We start from the raw sequence: 18,956 nt of genomic DNA, 5'->3' as shown, positions 1-18,956 counted from the left end.
CACACAATATGCTGGCAATCAGAAATGCATTAGGAAGAAGGCATGTGATCTGTGGCCTTTCCTCCTGACAACTCCACATAGAAATTTTTTATTTCCTAGTTAACATATATTAATGTGTATGTATATTTTAATAACTGAAAGGAAATCCTAAATTAGTAATATTTTCACTGGCCTATATTGAGGACATTTTCTGACCTTACTTAAGGCTTCAGGGATTTTGGAAGTATTAGACCAGCCAGTTGTACCATGTTACCAAAGAGTACCTGATCTTAGACACTGAAAAATAGAAAGGGTAAAGCCACCAGTCTATGCAATGGCTAAATTGGCAAAATAGCTCCATTTGGTTTGCCTAATGTTTCAAATAAATGCACAGTTTAAGTCATATTCTCTACTGAACACTTTCTATAGTGTTCTTTTAAAAATCTCTAATAAAAAGCTGTGTGCATGTACTTTCTACCTCAATTCGATGCTCACTGTTGCATGAAAGCTGAATAGGATGCCACTTGAGATCAGAATAACATCATTTTCAGAAACACAATTTTTAAAGTAAAAGGGCAATTATTACTATCAAAAAAACTTTAATCTCTTTCTTTAAATGCTAGAAGTACATCATTATACTACTTCATGCCATAAGATTATCAATCAATAGTGATTTACTGCAGGAAAAAAGCCAGAGAATAAGAATTTTAAAGTGACCTATTAGAAGAGTTAGAGCCATATACCACTTTGGTAGAAATTTGAAATAAATATATATTTTAAACAACTATCAGCTAAATTATCTCAATTATTTTTCATCCTACATGAGTAAATTAAATGTCTTAAATATCATACAGTTTGAAGGTGATAAAAGTCTGGGATGTTTTACAGGAATATTTAGAACAAATGTAAATGTCCCATATACAAAAATATAAATGTGAACCAAATCAGCACAGCTTCTCTGAAAAGCTTTTAGTCCCACAATCTTTAGTATTTAGCCTTTATATGTTCTTTATGAGATGGAAAAAGAAAGGTCAGACCTTAATATTTAATTTAGACATTGCCTGTTTACTGTTGTTGGGCCAAGACAACTTTAGGCCCAAGGGCATATGTGGGAATGAGAAGAATTCAAATTGTGACACAAGAATACAAGAATAAAAAAATAAAAAATATGAATAAATGGACTCACTGAAATTCTTTTCTTTTAATTGTACATTTAAGTACAATTAAAATATCAGTTCCAGAGCCTTATGTCAGATATACACACACACAACACCCCACTATCCACATGCAGACCCCCCATTCTCACATGTCACATGTACCAGGCAGACACACACCATAGACAAACACATCACAACCACACAAATGCATATATCACACACACAACAGACATGTGCATACACACACTACACGGTTATACACACATAGCCACACACATATACTATACACTCACACCCCCTCCACACACACATTTCTGTACACATTCACTTGCCAGGCTAAAATGAATAGGTGGAAAAGATAAAGCAGAACATTCCATTATTTCATTACTTTTTCTCCACCATATTCATTAACAAAAATTTGGTCTTGAAATTTCCAGGCCAGGTGCGGTGGCTCACGCCTGTAATCCTAGCACTTTGGGAGGCTGAGACAGGCGGATCACAAGGTCAGGAGATCGAGACCATCCTGGGTAACAAGGTGAAACCCCGTCTCTACTAAAGATATGAAAAATTAGCCGGGCATGGTGGCAGGCTCCTGTAGTCCCAGCTACTTGGGAGGCTGAGGCAGGAGAATGGCGTGAACCCGGGAGGCAGAGCTTGCAGTGAGCGGAGATTGCGCCACTGCACTCCAGCCTGGGTGACAGAGCGAGACTCCATCTCAAAAAAAAAAAAAAAAGACATTTCCAAAATCTCCACCTATATGCATAGGCCATGGTGAAGAGTAAGGCCTTAGATTTGCACTGCATTTTACTACACAACAAAAACTGTGCAGACATATTGTTCTATCTTTATCTTTGCCATTCTGTTCATCGCTTAGGCATATACTATCTCTTATAATATTTCTAGAGTGATTTAGAATTTATACAGTGCTTTCACATAAACAGCCTTATGTAATCCTCACATTGAGGTACTGAGGTAAATATAACTACCCCATGCTGCAGGTAAGCAATCTAAGGCTCAGTGCATTTAAGTTATTTGCCAAAGAACTAGGAACTAGGAAGAAACAGAGCTACAATTCTAAACTAAGCCAAAGACATCTGCTCTTTCTATGTGACTTTCCTGTCTGTACCTTCCCTACAAAGCGGTGCTGTGGATCTTTGGAGGCGTTTCTGCACTTTGAAGTGTTTGAACACTGGATCCTGTTTAAGTTCTAGTTATTTCCACAAGACCTCACTGACACAAACTGTAAAAAGACTAAAGTGCACAGACACAGTCGTGACACCTACAGTTCCCAATTCCATAGCTGATTCATAGGCAGATTGCTCCATTTTACAGGATGGTTGGATATCTTTTCTGAGAAGCTGATCATAGACAGGGACTTTGCCAGCCTTGGAAATGGTCAGTTTTATACTGTGTCAAAGCAACCAATACATTGAAGGAATGGAGATTTCAAAGCTGAAAAGTTTTCTGGTCATATACAATTTTTACACTGCCCTACACAGTGCCTACCACATACTGGCACTTCAAATTATATGTTGTATACATTATGTGTATGAAATTAGGTGGCACTGAAGAAATTAGAAAATTCACTTCATTCGTTTTGCCACCAAGATTTCTTCATAATGGAAGTTAAGAGTCTTTCCTTCTTCCCATAATTCATTTCCTTTCTTCCTTCTTTTTTTTCCCTCCTTCCTTCTTTCTTTTGCATTGGCTAGTTTATTTATTTTATCTTTTAGCAATGAGTTATAGGTACATTTACCTTATGTAAGTGATTGATTCTAAAATTTACAAATGTTGGGGCCAGATGTGGTGGCTCACACCTGTAATCCCAGCACTTTGGGAGGCTGAGGCGGGCGGATAACAAGGTCAGGAGATTGAGAGCATTCTGGCTAACACGGTGAAACCCAGTCTCTACTAAAAACACAAAAAATTAGCCAGGTGTGGTGGCAGGCGCCTGTAGACCCAGCTACTCGGGAGGCTGAGGCAGGAGAATGGTGTGAACCCGGGAGGCAGAGCTTGCAGTGAGCAGAGATCGCACCACTGCACTCCAACCTGGGCGACAGAGTGAGACTCCATCTCAAAATAATAATAATAATAATAAACATAATAAAAGTTATGAATGTCAATTTCCTCTGTGTAAACCACACCATAAACAATTACAAAGATCAGACTACAACATAAGTTGTTCAGGAAAGTATTCCTTTCATGCAGAAAAGAATGACTATGCAGTAATTGAGAGAAGTCTCTGCTTAGAATTCACAAGCTTTCTTTCCACTAAGTCTTATCATTTATCAAAATGCCAGCATAGAAGTCTACTGTTCCTCTTATAAATAATAAGGAATTTACCGCCTCACAATTCCAAATGAAGAAACCTATTGTCTTGCGTTCATTTCCTGAATTTCTTTGCAAACAGCCTCTCTATTTTGGGAGGCTGGACTCCCTTTCCAAAGTGGCTTTATTTTTCTCACTGTAGTGAAGTTATCTAAATTACAATCCTGTCAGCCAGTGAACATTCATATTTGTAGGGTATATTTAGATCAGGGAATTTCCTTGGCTTCTAATTTCTATACATCCAAATATTTATATGATGTTCAAATTTTTGACAATTCATTTAAGGCAGTCATGGTCAATAAATATAAATAATATATAAATAAGAAAATACCACCACGTGGTGGTGCAAAACTGTGCAAATTTTATTATTTGACTCACTTAAACCAGATGTTCTGTTTGGAATGTTAAATTCAAATGTCATTCTTATGCACTTTTTACCACTTAACTAATTGAGTACATAGAGGTTAGATATGTTCTGGACAATTAGCTGTAGGGAAATGTCATAATAGCCATATTATACTTAAAATGCAGAAGAAGAGAAGATAGTGTGCAGTATTTTATTGAGAATCACTTTGAAAGGGGTTGGCTGAAGAGCGGCTGTCCAGGGTGCTGATATCCAGTAACTGTCAAGGGTGGAGCTAAGTGGAACATGATCAAATTACCACCTATTCTCAATTTGTGTATTCTGCAGAGACACAAAGATTAGTAATAGAGTCTAACTCTAGAGATCCTCATGCTGCTTCTCATTGAAGCTTTAACGCCAGTCTTTCAAAACAAAGACACAAAGAATGTGTAGAATTGATGGAGGCAACAGATGTGTATCTCAGGTGCCAAAAGCCAACTGAAGATTTATGTGTATACAATTTAGTAATCATTTATTTCACTGTAAGTAATTGCGACTGAATACATAAGAGTTTCAGCTTTATTTTGGTGGTTAGTAACTACATGATCTCGGGAAATTCGCCTAATCTCTCTGAATATGAGTTCTTTCACCTTTAAAATGGAATAATAATGAGGATATTTCATGATTTCCTTTCATTATCTCTCTCTACTTACCTAAATTAAAGCTCTCTAAGGGCAGAGATTTTTAAATCTATTTGGTTCATTAAACAATCTGTTTAGACTAGTTTCCCAGAACACGGTAGGTATTCAATAAATATTTGCTGAGTAAATGAATTAGAAAGAAGAAATTTTATTAGCTTGAAACTAAAAATGTCCTTGGGTATCACTAAATTCTAGGAGACATATGGAAAAAGGTAGTTAGATAAGTAAAAGTAGAAAAGTAAAACAGGGAAAGAAGAAAGTAAGAATTTAAGAGAAAGGTTATGATGAATAAGGCAAAATTGGATAAAACCAATTAGTATCTGAGTAGCCACTTTGGAATATGTATTTCAGGGACTACAACTCTCCATCCCAGGTCACTAATTTTGATAATGTGCACCTGTTAAAAAACTGCAATAACTAACACTATACTCTGCATTACAGTAGGTACTTTGACCATTTAGGATGTTTCTATGATTTTGTCAGAGAGTCATGCTTTGCCACCTGGGGTAAATACTTATTGAAGATTTGTGTTTCAGAGAAAAAATATCCATCTATCACTGAAGTCTCACCTTTAATTTTCTATCCAAAAACCTTATCTTTGCAGACTGTCCAGTGTGACTCTGGCCTCTGTTTTTCACACTGCCCAGGAGAACTCTGGCTCATTCTTGCCTCTGTACTCTATTCATAATGTTTTTCCCTAGCAAGAAGAGTGGCTTTTTTCTTTTCACCTAACTAAATGCTACACATTTTTAAGGTATACTCAAATATCAGCAACTCTTATGATGATATTTCTCAACATCCCTTAATCTCTCCCATTAATAAGATTTCATACCAGTTAATACTATACTATTCACTTTGTCATTTAAACGTAAATCACTTGATATCATTTAGTTGTTTCTCTTTGCATAAGTGTTTTATTACTATTTGAAGGTAAAGGTATTTCTTATATTTCTATTGTATACTTTTAAATATCAAGTATATTTTTCTGATGCATAGATGGTACAAAATAAATGTAGATTTGAAATAAACTGATTGTTTGAATTTCTCTTCACATATATTCATCTTGAAGAATGATGAACAATTACATCTTGTTCTACACATGAGTTATTTAATGTTCTTCTGGTCAATGGGAGGTTCACTGCAATTTGATATTTTGTTAATGACATATTTGACATGTTGGTGAATTTTCGTTACATATGTGGATGATGCTAAGATGAACTCATTCTTAAAAACCTGAGGGGAGATGAGAATTTGAAAGGCTCTAACTTAGAAATAAAGTCATTGAAAGGGAGCTTAATAAATTAAACAATCAAAAATACATTACAGCATATATTTTTTTAAAATTATATAGGAAATTACTTACATTGAGACACTGAGATAACTAAAATGTCCCCTTCTGGTCCCCACACAGATTTTGACTCCTGTACCTGCCAGTCTGCTCACTCTTACCCCCATTCATCTATCCTGTTTCCCTACCCAGGGCTTCATCTCTATGTTCAGTCCAGTCTCTCTACCTTGGTTCAACATCTTCCTCACATGGCTCTGATTTCTCCTCCTTTTCTTCTATGGAAGGAAAATTATTCTTTTCTGGGACCTCTGAAGGCTTTCCTGATGAGTCCAGGTCACACTAAGCACAATCTTTACCAAACTTTACAAAATATAGTTTCTGTTGAATATGATTTAGCATCAGATTATTCCCAGTCTTATACTAATCTGTGCTTAAACCTTGTTTCTGTAGATAGACGGCAGACTGATCGAATGGATGGAATGCCTAGCAGAAATTGAGTATGAAATAGGTGCACCAAAAAGAGTCTACATGGAAAAAAAAAATGTTCCTCTGCTTGGAATCACTCTCAGTACTGTGCAGTGGACAAGGTCAATAGCAATCTTGTAAAGAGCTAAACTTTTCCTGAGAAATAATAACTGCTCCCACCTATTGAGTTATATTGTAGACACCATTTTCTCAAGTCAATTTATTTAATCCTAACAACTTTATAAGGTAAATATTGTTCTTAAACTCCATTTTACAAATGAAAAAACTGAACTTAAATCCTGCTAAAACCTAATAGCTAGTAGGTGATGATAACACAATTTGAACTCAGGCAGACTGACTCCAGAGCCCTTCCTTCCTCTCGGGAGCTGATACCAGAGTCAAAAAGAGGAATAAGAGGAAACAAACTTCCTGCAATTGCTGTGCTTTCCAGACACAATATGTGGCCATCTTATCCACTATTCAGACATGAGGCACTCTTAAACTAAGATGCAGATCTGATTGCAACACCAATAAAATTTCAAGAGTAGCCAACGACATAAAGATTAATGGTATTTACTGACTAGAAGAAAGGGAATTTTTCACGGGTTGACAAAACCATTCAGAGCAAAACTGTGCCATTCCAACAAAGAAAAGGATAGGAGAAAATGAAGCCAAAGAAAAGAGTGAGTGAGAACGAAAAAAAGCAAGAAATTAAAAGGCAGAAAAGTGGAATTAGGAGAAAATATGATGAAGAGTAAAGGCAGTGACCAAAAACAATGACAGTGAGGAATTGAGATGACCATGATAAAGAGAAAGGGAACAAAACACAGGGTAAAATAGCATAGCTCCTGGGGACTCTGGTTGTGTCAAGCTCTCTTGAAGATATAACAGGTAAAAATGGGACAAGTTCATTTCAACAGGAAAGCCGCAATAGTCCAGCAGCACTGTCTAATAGAATTTTGTGATAATAAAAATATTCGATATTGGCACTTCCCAGTATGGTGGCCACTAGCTACATCTGGCTACTGAACCCTCAAAATGTTACTAGTGCAAATGAGGAATTAAGTTTTTAATGTTTTAAAGTTTAGTTAATTTGAATGTAAATAGCCACATGTGGCTAGTGACTCCAGTAATGAACAGCAAAGGTCTATGGCTTCCAGGCGGCAAAGTGATTCTAGGGACTTCTCTAAAAAAGTACGATCCATAACCCCCTCACTCTCTATATGCTGACCACATGGAAAAACATATGAATGGCTAACACTGAGATTCTGAGTGATCATGAAAAGGCTGTATCATATTCTGTGTACTAAATATGATGGGCTTAAATTGTGTCCTTCTGTACAATTCCTTTGTTGAAGCCCTAACCCCCAGTATCTCAGAATGGGACTGTATTTAGATATGGGGCTTTTAAAGAGGTGATTCAATTAAAATAAGGCCATTAGGGTGGTCCCAAATCTCATCTGGCTGGTGTCCTCATAAAAAGAAGATATTCAGCCACCCAAATTGACAGCAGAAATGTGCATATGCAAAGGAAAAACCATGTGAAGACCCAGCAAGAGAGTGGCCATCTGCAAACCAAGAAGACAGGTCTCAGAAGAAACCAAACCTACTGGCATCTTGGCTTGGACTTCCAGTCTCCAAAACTGAAAGAAAACAAATTTCTGTTGCTTAAGCCACCCCAGTCTGTAGTTTTTTGTTATGGCAGCCATAGCAAATTATTACACTAAAGCAGTTAAAAACAAGTGCAATACAGTTCTAAAACTTCAATGTAATTTAAGTCAAAGGTTTTAGGCTTAGCCTTGGTTTATTTATCAAACCATATTTCTTGACCCACTCTTCAAAACTGAGAATGCACAGAATCTTGCAGTAGAACATTCAAAGGAGGAAACAAATTATAAACTACAATTACCTGCAGCTAAGGAGTATTTTATATGCTACTCAATTTAAATTCTAAAAGCTGTATTGATGACAGTTAAATGGTAGCTGCCTATGCAGGATGACAGGCTTTAAAATGTTAACTCCTCCATGCAAGATTGAAGGGAAATTTCTGGTTGCTAGGCCCTGATTTGGTGCAGTGAAGGTCAGCATTATTAAGCAGGGAATTTGCATTAGTGTCTGGGTGTTACAAGAGCTGCATAAATTACCTATGCAATGGTCAGGTCTTTCAAAGATCCATGCTGGCAGAGATGCTGAGTGTGGGGAAGAGAGGCGAAGGCTCTCTCTCTTTTGCTTGTCAACAAAATATGTCGTCATGTTTTATCTCATATTTTTTCTTAAAATGAATGTTGTTTTCATACATATTTTGTTTTCTGTGATATGCTCTCATTCATCACATGATTGCTAGGCATGACCAGACCTGTAATAGTACTTAGCATCTTGCAGATATCAGTGCATTATGACAAGACTCACTGTTTTGCTGAAATGTGAGGAGCTTCATAGGCTTGCCTATAGCTACACATTTCAATAGAAGTTTTCTATAAATTAGAACAATTGCTACATATTTGGCAGCAGCTGATAAATAGGCAAATCTTACCTAGTAGACTAAAAATGTATAAATGTATTTACGGAGACTCAGGGTTCTTAACAGAAATTTGTTTTCCCCTTATATCATGTTACTGATATACATCTCTAATTATGGGGATTTTTCTCAAGAAAAACCTCATTTGGAATCAGAAAGGAATGATAGAAACTCTTGTATTTTCCTGGTAACCTTGACAGACATAGGGCAAGGGCAAGAAGAGGTATAAGGTCTCTTCAGAACAAAGGATAGCCTAGTTTTCCATGCTCAAGCTCACACAGTCTTCCTGTTGACTCCTCTTTTGGAATCACTGTTAAAATGGTCTCTTCTCCAGGGTGAAATCCTAAGTCGGCAAAATCAGTTTTTCATGCTCCCCACCACTCTTTTGTGTTACTGTTCATAGTGTGAAGTCAGTTCGTTTGGTCAGTCCCCAGTGTCTGCCTAGGCCTTTAGTGTCTCTTTCTTGAGTTCCAATTTGACAATCAGGTATTCTATTGCCTCTATGATCACAAAATTCTAGCCAATAAATAACTCTTGCTAATATATTAAAGGATTATAGTGGATTTTTTAACATTTCTAGGCATCATCTTTGTCATTAGACTCTTCTGGTGACAGTGTTGCAGCTTAAATGAGTAATTTTAATGAATGTAAGTAATTTGACTGCATGGTAAATTATGTGTGTGTGTGTGTGTATGTGTATGTGTGTGTGTGTGTGTGAGAGAGAGAGAGACAGAGAGAGACAGAGAGAAAGAGAGAGGAATTCTCTTTCAGATAGAGCTTTTGTTTCCTGTGAAATCCTACTTCCTATGAAGCTGTCTGAAGTCTCCCTACCTTTGTGAAGGCTTTGTTTCAATCAGGGGATAGTTCATTTGGGGGACTGATCACGGGACATGAAGGGTCCTATTTGTGAGTAAAAAAGGTAGCTTACACCCACAGAGGAAAATGCCCTTTTCAGGCACCATTTTGTAGGTCAGGTACATAGTCTGTTTATCAGAACTAATACAAATACTCGAACCAAATAGACCCAACTTTTATTTTTAGAATGGGGATTTAAAATGTAGTTGAGCTATTCAAGACACCTACATCAGTCAAGATGGGCTAGGGAATGCTTCTGTAATAAGCAACCCTAAATTCTTAGTGGCTTGTTGTAATAAAGTTTATTTCTCTCTTGTGCTATATATCCATCACGATGGGCTAGGAGCTCTGCTCCAAATCTTCTCTCCTCCCAGGATCTAGACTGAGAAAGCAGCCATTGTATCAATTGCCAACTGTCATGCCACAGGAAAAAGAGAGCTCTAGAAGGTCTCACATCAGCAATTCAATGCTTAGCCCAGAAATGACATATGTTAGCTCTGCTCATAATTCATTGTCTGGAGCTAGTCACAGGCCTCACCCAGCCACAGGGGTCTCAGAAATGCCACTTCCATTTTCTTGTGTCTGAAAGAGAGAAAAGCTGGACAGATTTGGTCAACAGTATCAATGACAACCACAGTACTCAAGTGACTCTTTTACTTTGGAATTTTATAAGAGCAAGCATTAGCTGAAATTAACTAGATATGCACAATGAAAGAACTGTATTCATATTACTAAACAGCTAAACAAATGCATAGTAAATTATAAATAAATCCAACAAGAGTGGCCAGAGAAGTATCTTTCTCCTACACTACATTTAGATTATCTTATTTTGTTGTTCTGTCATACAATGTCTGCTTTGGTATTCTGGGCTACTCTATGTCAAACTGTCAGCTTTTATCAGAGCTGATGTATTACTTACAAAGAATTCCCAGTTTTTTATCTCCCAATGGTAAAACTTTAATTTTTAATGCATAGAAACTTTCTTTCTTAATTATATACACTTTAAGTGAATATATATTGCTCTGGTGATTTTTCTTGTTATGTTACACAATAAAAACATGTGATTATGGGAAGCCGTGCAATGTGTTCCCCCCATCTGTGAATGTCTTCCACAGAAGGAGTTATAAATATATATGATTAAATCATATGAACTTGCCATTTTTGCAGGTCAAACAGTTGAATATTTCAATTTCATGTTTCAATCTAATAAATACCTCCATGGCTTTAGATTTTAATAAACATCTTTTCAAGGATGAATATTGTCTTTCTCATTTAGTTATGATCCCTGGTAGGGGTCAATGTGTGGATTACGAATTCAGATAATCCTTTACTTTTATCAAGGTTCTGCTTTTCTTAGTTACATGGTCTTATGTGGTCTCTATAGCCTTCAGTTCCCTTGTGGGCATAAAAGTAATATCATCCTGTTGGAGACATTGTGTGGACAGGATGAGATTGGGGTCGTAGCACACATAGCATGGTCTCTGGCATTTATTGAATGCCCCCAAATGGTAGCTTTATGCATTTTCTTCTCCCTTGCAAATACTGTATACTGCCAAGCTACATTAAAATATGCCTGCTTATAATCAAATTCTGCCTGGAGGTTTCCTGATCAACTGTGCCATGTCCTTTGTGTATATGCTGCAGGAGCACTTGCTCCTATCAAAATGGCCCACTCCATTTAAGGACAGTCAGTCTACAGACATGTTCTCACTGGGCCCCTTCACAGCCTCCACATCATGACAAGTGCCTCTGAGTTCATCTAAGAGGGAGAAATAATCTAGAATAAGGGCTAGAGAGGAATGATAGAAACTCTTGCATTTTCCTGGTAACCTTGACAGACACAGGGCAAGGGCAAGAAGAGGTATAAGGCCTCTTCAGAACAAAGGATAGTCTAGTTTTCCATATTCAAGCTCACACAGTCTTCCTGCTGATTCCTCTTTTGGAGTCACTGAGTCAGGAATGAGGTATGGTAATTTCTCAAATTCACTATTTCTCTTCCTTAAATAATAAATTGCATAGAATGAGTCAGTTAATGAGCAGATGAGAGGACTAGTGTGGGTTGCCAATCACCAGGAATAATTGATATCTGCATATCCCCTTTCTCTTCCCTACTATCATCAAATACATGTTTGGTAAGAATTCAGTGTTCTGACAAGTAACATTCATTCCTATATAGATTGGCATTTACCAAACTGAGAAAGAACTCTAAGAGAGTTTTAAATTCATATTAATGATAAGAAAACATTAGGACAATTCAATTTTCTTCTCTAATAGCTAACTTGAGACAACACATAGAGTTGGTGGAACATCCATTCTAATTTCTCCTGTCTGAATCATGATTGCTCAAAATTAAAGCTCATAGCCACATGATTTGAGATAAATAGGATGTAACCACAATGGCTATTTAAGACACTGTATTTCATATACTTAGAAATTTATAGCACACGGAGGGGGTATTATTTTCAAATTCCGGAATGCATTAAGATATTTACAAATCCTAATATCAATTACATTTTTATGTAATTCCTTTCTTAAAAAAGTTATAAGTACTCTGTGAATAAGGTCTCAATTTTTAAAACACCCTACTAAGATAGGAAGGGATTTGATCTATAATTTTATATGGTGTCTAAGTCACTTTTGAAATAGAAATAGGGTTACTTAAAAGTCAGTAATTTTACAGCTTCTATCACAAACACTTATTAGCATTTTTCAACACTTCATGAACATTGAGGGTTATGGAAAATTAACACAAATTCAACAGGCAAATGGAAATTGATCAATACTAGAGAAATTGATGATAACGTTTCTTTTATGCATGAGAACCAGCTTGTCTCCCTCAGATACTCAGAGGCACCAAGATACCTCTCCACTACCTGGGCTGGGCTGCCTGGCCCTGTATGACAGGCAAGGCCCAGGGCCACTGCCCCGGGATCTATAAATCCATGTGTAACCAACACTCCATTGTGTTGTGGTGGAGCCTATCCTCCACCAGCAACAAGCCAGACCATGGATATAGATACAGTTATGTATCTCTTAACACATGTTCTGAGAAATGTGTCAATAGGCAAGTTCATCATTGTGCAAACATCACAGAGTATACTTTCACAACCTCCAGGGTATAAACTACTCTACACCTAGGCAATATGGCAAAGTCTATTGCCCATAGGCTACAAACTTGTACAGTAGTTACTGTACTGAATACTGTGGGCAATTATAACACAATGCTAAGTATTTGCATATCTAAACATATCTAAACATAGAAAAGTACAATAACAATACAGTATTTTAATCATATGGGATTGTGCAGTCCATCATTGACAGAAACATCCTTATACAATGCATGACAGTAACTGAATGCCATACCTGGAAGCAAGTCGTAGGCTATTAATGTTTCCAGCACAGCGAGCTTTATCAGAAGAAAGAGTCCATGACAAGCTATATCCTTTTTTCAGGATTCCCCCACAGAAGCCTACTGATGGAATCAGATGAGTCACACGATTTTCTCTGCTGGTTCAATAGGAGGCATTGTCTCTCTGCCAGTCTCCCTGTGGGAGTTCAATCAATATGAATTGAATGAATGAATGAACTGACGTGAAGTATGTGGTAGATGATACTAAAAGACTTGCCTTGCAATGGTCATATGGACCTACTGGCACACAAATAATAGAATTTCTGGAAGTTATTACTTTCCCTAGCTGGTGGCCAAGACAATGGCTTTGCGATTGACAGTGCTCCTCTCTGTGAGAAAATGACGGTATGTTCTCTGCCAACATTTGTTCTCATTTGGAATTAAATGGGGCTACAAAATGGGTTTATTCACATAGCATTTTGGGTAAAAATATGAGATAATAAGAGGCACACTCTGTCACTTAGTAATAAACTTTTAATAATCCCAGAATCTGGATTATTAAACCATGATTTGTTTAATGACTTGCCTTTATTATAATTTTCAAAAATGATGATTGTGTTTACATTCATATTTATTTTTCATTGTTATCACATACTATTTATTTAAATTATTTCATTATAATAATAAGCATGACTGGCATAAATACATTTGAGAAATAAACACAACTGACTTTCGGTCAACATCAGCCACAAGAAAACCTTAACATATGAGAGCAGAAATGATTCATATTTGGTCCACAGAAAACACTTCAGTGTTTGTTGGTCCAGCAATATTGGAAGTTCGAGCTGCTCTCAATACAGCCACTTTTAGCCCTGTTGACACAGGTATACTTTAACTTTCTAGGCATCAGTCTTTGTGTCTTTCAACTCCCAACATATTTCAAAGTTCTGTCAGTCACCCCAGATAAGCTTCCCTTATGAAGCTTGAGCTGATGGAGCTAGAACCCGCTACCTGTCTTAGGAAGCTCAAAGAGTGGTAACAGCTCTCTGAAAACAGTGTCATCACCAAGTTTTCCCCTTTTTTCATGCACTTTCTCTATTTCTATCTCAATCTCAATCTTCACAATCCCTTTGTAACTTGAGCAGATGCAGATTTTTCTCATGTTCACTCTGGCTATATGTTCTATTGGCACTTAAGTCAGAACTGAGACTGGAAGAGTTCCTTCTAGCAACCTGTTAAATAATTTTTATACCAAGCTCCTGGTACAAACCTAAGCTGATTCCCACCTTTAAATAAATGATTAAAGTAAAGCAAAAGGTGCATAAAAGATACAAGACAAGTCAAGGCACATCTGGAATGTAAACAGTCTTCTAATCGTTGATTTTATTCGGTTCAAAGCCATCTTCCCACTATAAAAAATTGCTAACCTTTGGGCAGGGCATGGGGGTTCTCGCCTGTAATCCCAACAATTTGGGAGGCCGAGGCAGGTGGATCACTTGAGGTCAGGAGTTCAAGACCAGCCTAGCCAACAGGGTGAAACCCTGTCTCTACTAAAAATACAAAAATTAGCCGGGTGTGGTGGCATATGCCTATAATCCCAGCGACTGAGGAGGCTGAGGCAGGAGAATTGCTTGAGCCTGGGAGGTGGAGGTTGCAGTGAGTCAAGATCATGCCATTGCACCCAGCCTGGGGGAAGAAGTGAGATTCCGTCTCAAAAAAAAAAAAAAAAAGGTAACCTTTGGAGATTTCCCTAATCTGATATATAAGAAGTAATAATTGTGGTCACAAATGAAAACTGTAGTTCCACAGAAAGCAACATTAGAAGTTAGAAGCAACCCTTGGTCACACAAGGCCTGTGCCCTCAAGGTCTGGGATTCTCTTTTAGATAGTTATACTCTTCTTGGCTTGATTCCTCACCCAGAGTCCTGAGAAAATCTCTCTGTTAGAAAGCCCAATAGACTGACATCAATTTTCTCCTTCCCCTTTAGAATTACGTACATAAATTCACATATAAGTATACTGGTACAAAGTGAAAAGAGACAGTGTTATTAAGACAAAGGAAAACCAACGCATATCAAATATTAGACGACAGAAAGATCACTGCAGTCCCAATCCTACAATGCTCAAACAGAATTCCCTAAATGTTATTTTTAATTTCTGGATCAAGGACCTTTTCCTACTGGGACTTACTGTCACCTCTGCTGTGTTCTGTTGGCATGAGCTGCTGCCATGTGGTTGGTTATTTGCCTCCTGTTTGCAAAATTGGTCCCCCATGGTCCACCCCACCCAATACACATGCTCTTCCCCTGCAAGGATGCTCTGGCTAGGCCCACTCACTTTCCTCTTCCGGAGCCTGATCACTTATGCTGAACTAATTCTTGGTCTGCTCCCCTGGAGCCAGTGACCTTTATTGTGCACCTGTTCTGGGGAAAACACTGAAGTGGACAGGACTCTTCTGGTTGCAAATGATAGACAATTTGAACTAGCTAGGCAAAAGGAACAAATGTAAGGCCCAGAATCCAGGATGGAGTATAACTAATGCCGTAAGACCCAGGGACCCACTCCACTAACACTCCATCCCATAGCCCCTTACGGCTGTCTCTCTGGTTTTCCTCACTTCATTGACAAACTTTCTTCTTCCATGTCCTGGAAATATTTTCATGACCAAGATCACATCCACACAGATTTCTGAGAGAAAAAGGTCCTCATCTCTCCCAATTCTGGAGGTGAACAGAAAATTCTGAGAACGATTTTGGCCCATAAGTTATGAGCTCATTTCCTGGGCCAATCACTGGGACCAGGGAGACAGGATCACGTCAGCTCCCATCGTGGGGAGGGAGTGTGGTGCTTCCAGGAAGATGGAGGTTTGCAGGGCAATCCAAACAACAGATGTCCTCCAAAGGCATAGTGCCAATCCTGACAGTAATGGGAGGGAAAGCTAAAATTCTCCCGACTTAGGGAGTCATTACAGGCAACTTTGTTTAACAAATGTCTGCTTTTACACTGAGCTGCCAAGAGAAAGAACTTCTGATGAGACCACCAGCTACCTGGATGATGGGGGGGCCATAGCTAAGGGGAAAACCCTTATACGGTTCAAAGATTTTTATGTCTTGACTTGGAAAGGGGTTAGGAAAGTTAGGTAAAGGTATAGAGTGCAAGTCAGAGCATTTCTGAGATCTCAATATTCTGCTAATACTCGATTTTATTTGATTTGTCATATTTTCTCTCACTATAAATCTTGCTAACCTTTGAAGAGTTCTTGAAACTGGCAAAGAACTAGTTGTTGACAGAAATTGAAGATACACATCTTCAGGAGGGTATATTAAAGGTTAGAGGTGGCTCTGTGTCAGGGATTCTGTGGTACATTTGCTCTTCAGTCTTCTTTGTGGGGAGTTTAGAGCCTGTTTCAGTCCTGGCTTCTGACCTTCCCCTCCTCAGGCATCAGGTCATGGGGCTTCCCCTAAAGGCCAGAGCCTGATTAATCAGAGAATATCAAGCTTCTGATTATTCCTGTTTATACCTTTATGGGCTTGTGACATATTATATATTATCATGTGCCACATAACGATGTTTCAGTCAACAATAGACCACACATACAGCAGTGGTCCTGTAAGATTATAATGGAGCTGAAAAATTCCTATCACATAGTGATGCTGTAGCTGTCGCAACACATTACTTGTGTGTTTGTGGTGATGCTGATGTGAACAAACCTAGAGCACGGCCAGTCATATGAAACTATAGCATATAAAATTTTGTACAGTACATAATACTTGATAATGATAATAAATGACTATATTACTGGCTTATGCACTTACTATACCACGCTTTTACCTTTATTTTAGAGTATACTCCTTCTACTTATTAAAAAAATGTTAACTGGAAAGCAGTGTCAGGTAGGCCCTTCAGGAGGCATTCTCGAAGAAGGCACTGTTATCATAGGAGATGACAGCTCCATGCATGTTATCTCTGAAGCCCTTCCAGTAGGACAAGATGTAGAGGTGTAAGACAGTGATATCGGTGATCTTGACCTTGTGTAGGTCTAGACTAATGTGTATGTTTGAGTCTTAGTTTTTAAAAAAAAAATTTACAAAAAAAAATTAAATAGAAAAAAGGCTTATAGAGTAATCATAGAAAGAAGATATTTTTGTACGGCTGTACAATTATTTATGCTTTAAGCTAAGTGTCACTACAAACAAGTCAAGAAGTTAAAACATTAAACATTTATAAAGTAAAAAAGTTACAGTAAGCTAAGTTTAATTTATTATTGAAGAAAGGAAATTTTTAACATAAATCTACCTTAGCCTAAGTGGTCAGTGTTTATAAAGACAGTAGTGTACAGTAATGTCCTAGGCCTTCACATGTACCCCACCAGTCACTCCCTCACTGACCCAGAGCAACTTCCAGTTCTGCAAGCTCCATTCATGGTAAGTGCCCTATACAGTTGTGACACCTTCTATATTTTATACCATATTTTTACTGTACCTTTCTATATTTAGATACACAAATACTTATCATTGTGTGACAATTGCCTATAATATTCAGTAGAGTAACATGCTGTACAAGTGTATAGCCTAGAAGCAATAGGCTATGCCTTATAGCCTAGGTGTGTTGTAGGCTACACCAACTAGGTTTGTATAAATGCACTCTATGATGTTCACATAACAATGAAATTGCCTAATGATGTATTTCTCAGAACGTATCCCTGTCATTAAATGATGCATGACTGTAATTGAAGGAAATAATTACAGAATTTCAATCGTATCTAATTTCATGTTTACAGTAAAAAAGCCAAACACTACTTCCCTAGAAATAAACTTATTTTATTATCAGTTTTTAATTATGTAATTAATGCATCCAACTACTTCCTCCTGGAATTCATTTTCTTCTTCCTGGCATAGATTCTCCAGCTAAAAGGGTCTTTGAATAATAAGCTTTCTGAGGACTTGTATGATTGAAGATGTTTTACTCTGCCCTCATATATGAACGAGAATTTAGTTGTATATAAAATTACAGACAAAACTATTTCACCTCAACTCTTTGAAGTTGATGCTCCACTACCCCATTGTGTCCAATGATGTTGCTATGAAGTAAGGTTGTCTATACGAGTCCAATTCCTTTAGAAGCAATCTGATTTTTTTCTCTCTTCTAACTTTTAGAATTTTTCCATTTAGGCTTGACATAACCATGAAATATCTGGAATAGGGTTTTGTTACTCCTGTTGTTATTTTTGTTATGTTGTTCTTTGATGGATTCTTTAAATTTCAGGACATACATCTTTCTTTAGGTCTAGAACTTTTCTGGCTTCTACGTCATCAACAAGTATGGTTCCCTCTGCATTCTCCATATTCTCTCAATTTGGGACCCCTAATGGATTGATGTTGACTCTCAAGCCTTGTTCTTCATGTTTTGTTTTAACTTTTCTTTTATGTTGTTCTTCTTATTTTTCCCTTTGTGTTATCTTCTGGGATAATTTCTTGTTACAGTCTTTTACATCGCTAACTTGCTTTTCAATTATGCTTATTCTGCCGTTCACCCAGTTTTTAGCTGTATTCATTTTATTTTTATAGTATATAATTGGTTGTTTTTCATAATCACTCATTGTAGTTTTTTAATGTGATGTTTCCCTTGTTTCTCTGCTGATATGTAATTACCTTATATGGAAGTCCTGCGCTACTTCCACAAGTATAAGTGCTTTCAGTTATCCAGTTCCTCACTTCTTGAGGAAAGTCATCTTTAAATTTTTTAATTTAACTCTGTGGGTACATGAGCTATTTTGATACAGGCATGCAATGTGTAATAATCACATCAGGGTAAATGGGGTATCTATCAACTCAAACATGTACTATTTCTTTGTGTTACAAACAATCCAATTATACTCTTTGAGTTATTTTTAAATGTACAATAAATTACTGTTGACTGTAGTCACCTTGTTGTGCAATCAAATACTAAGTCTTATTCATTCTTTCTGACTAT

General features: G+C 37.3%; 1 annotated feature.

The window, feature by feature from the left end:
* Window positions 3,989-4,189: a silencer, noted in NCBI's record as "peak5945 fragment used in MPRA reporter construct". NCBI's record gives its function as "represses an SCP1 promoter by STARR-seq MPRAs in K562 erythroleukemia cells {active_cell/tissue: K562}" and the evidence as "EXISTENCE:reporter gene assay evidence [ECO:0000049][PMID:32103011]".

Source organism: Homo sapiens, chromosome 6 (genome assembly GCF_000001405.40).
Source record: "Homo sapiens chromosome 6, GRCh38.p14 Primary Assembly".
NCBI lineage: Eukaryota > Metazoa > Chordata > Mammalia > Primates > Hominidae > Homo > Homo sapiens.
This window is presented reverse-complemented; position numbering and strand designations above follow the sequence as displayed.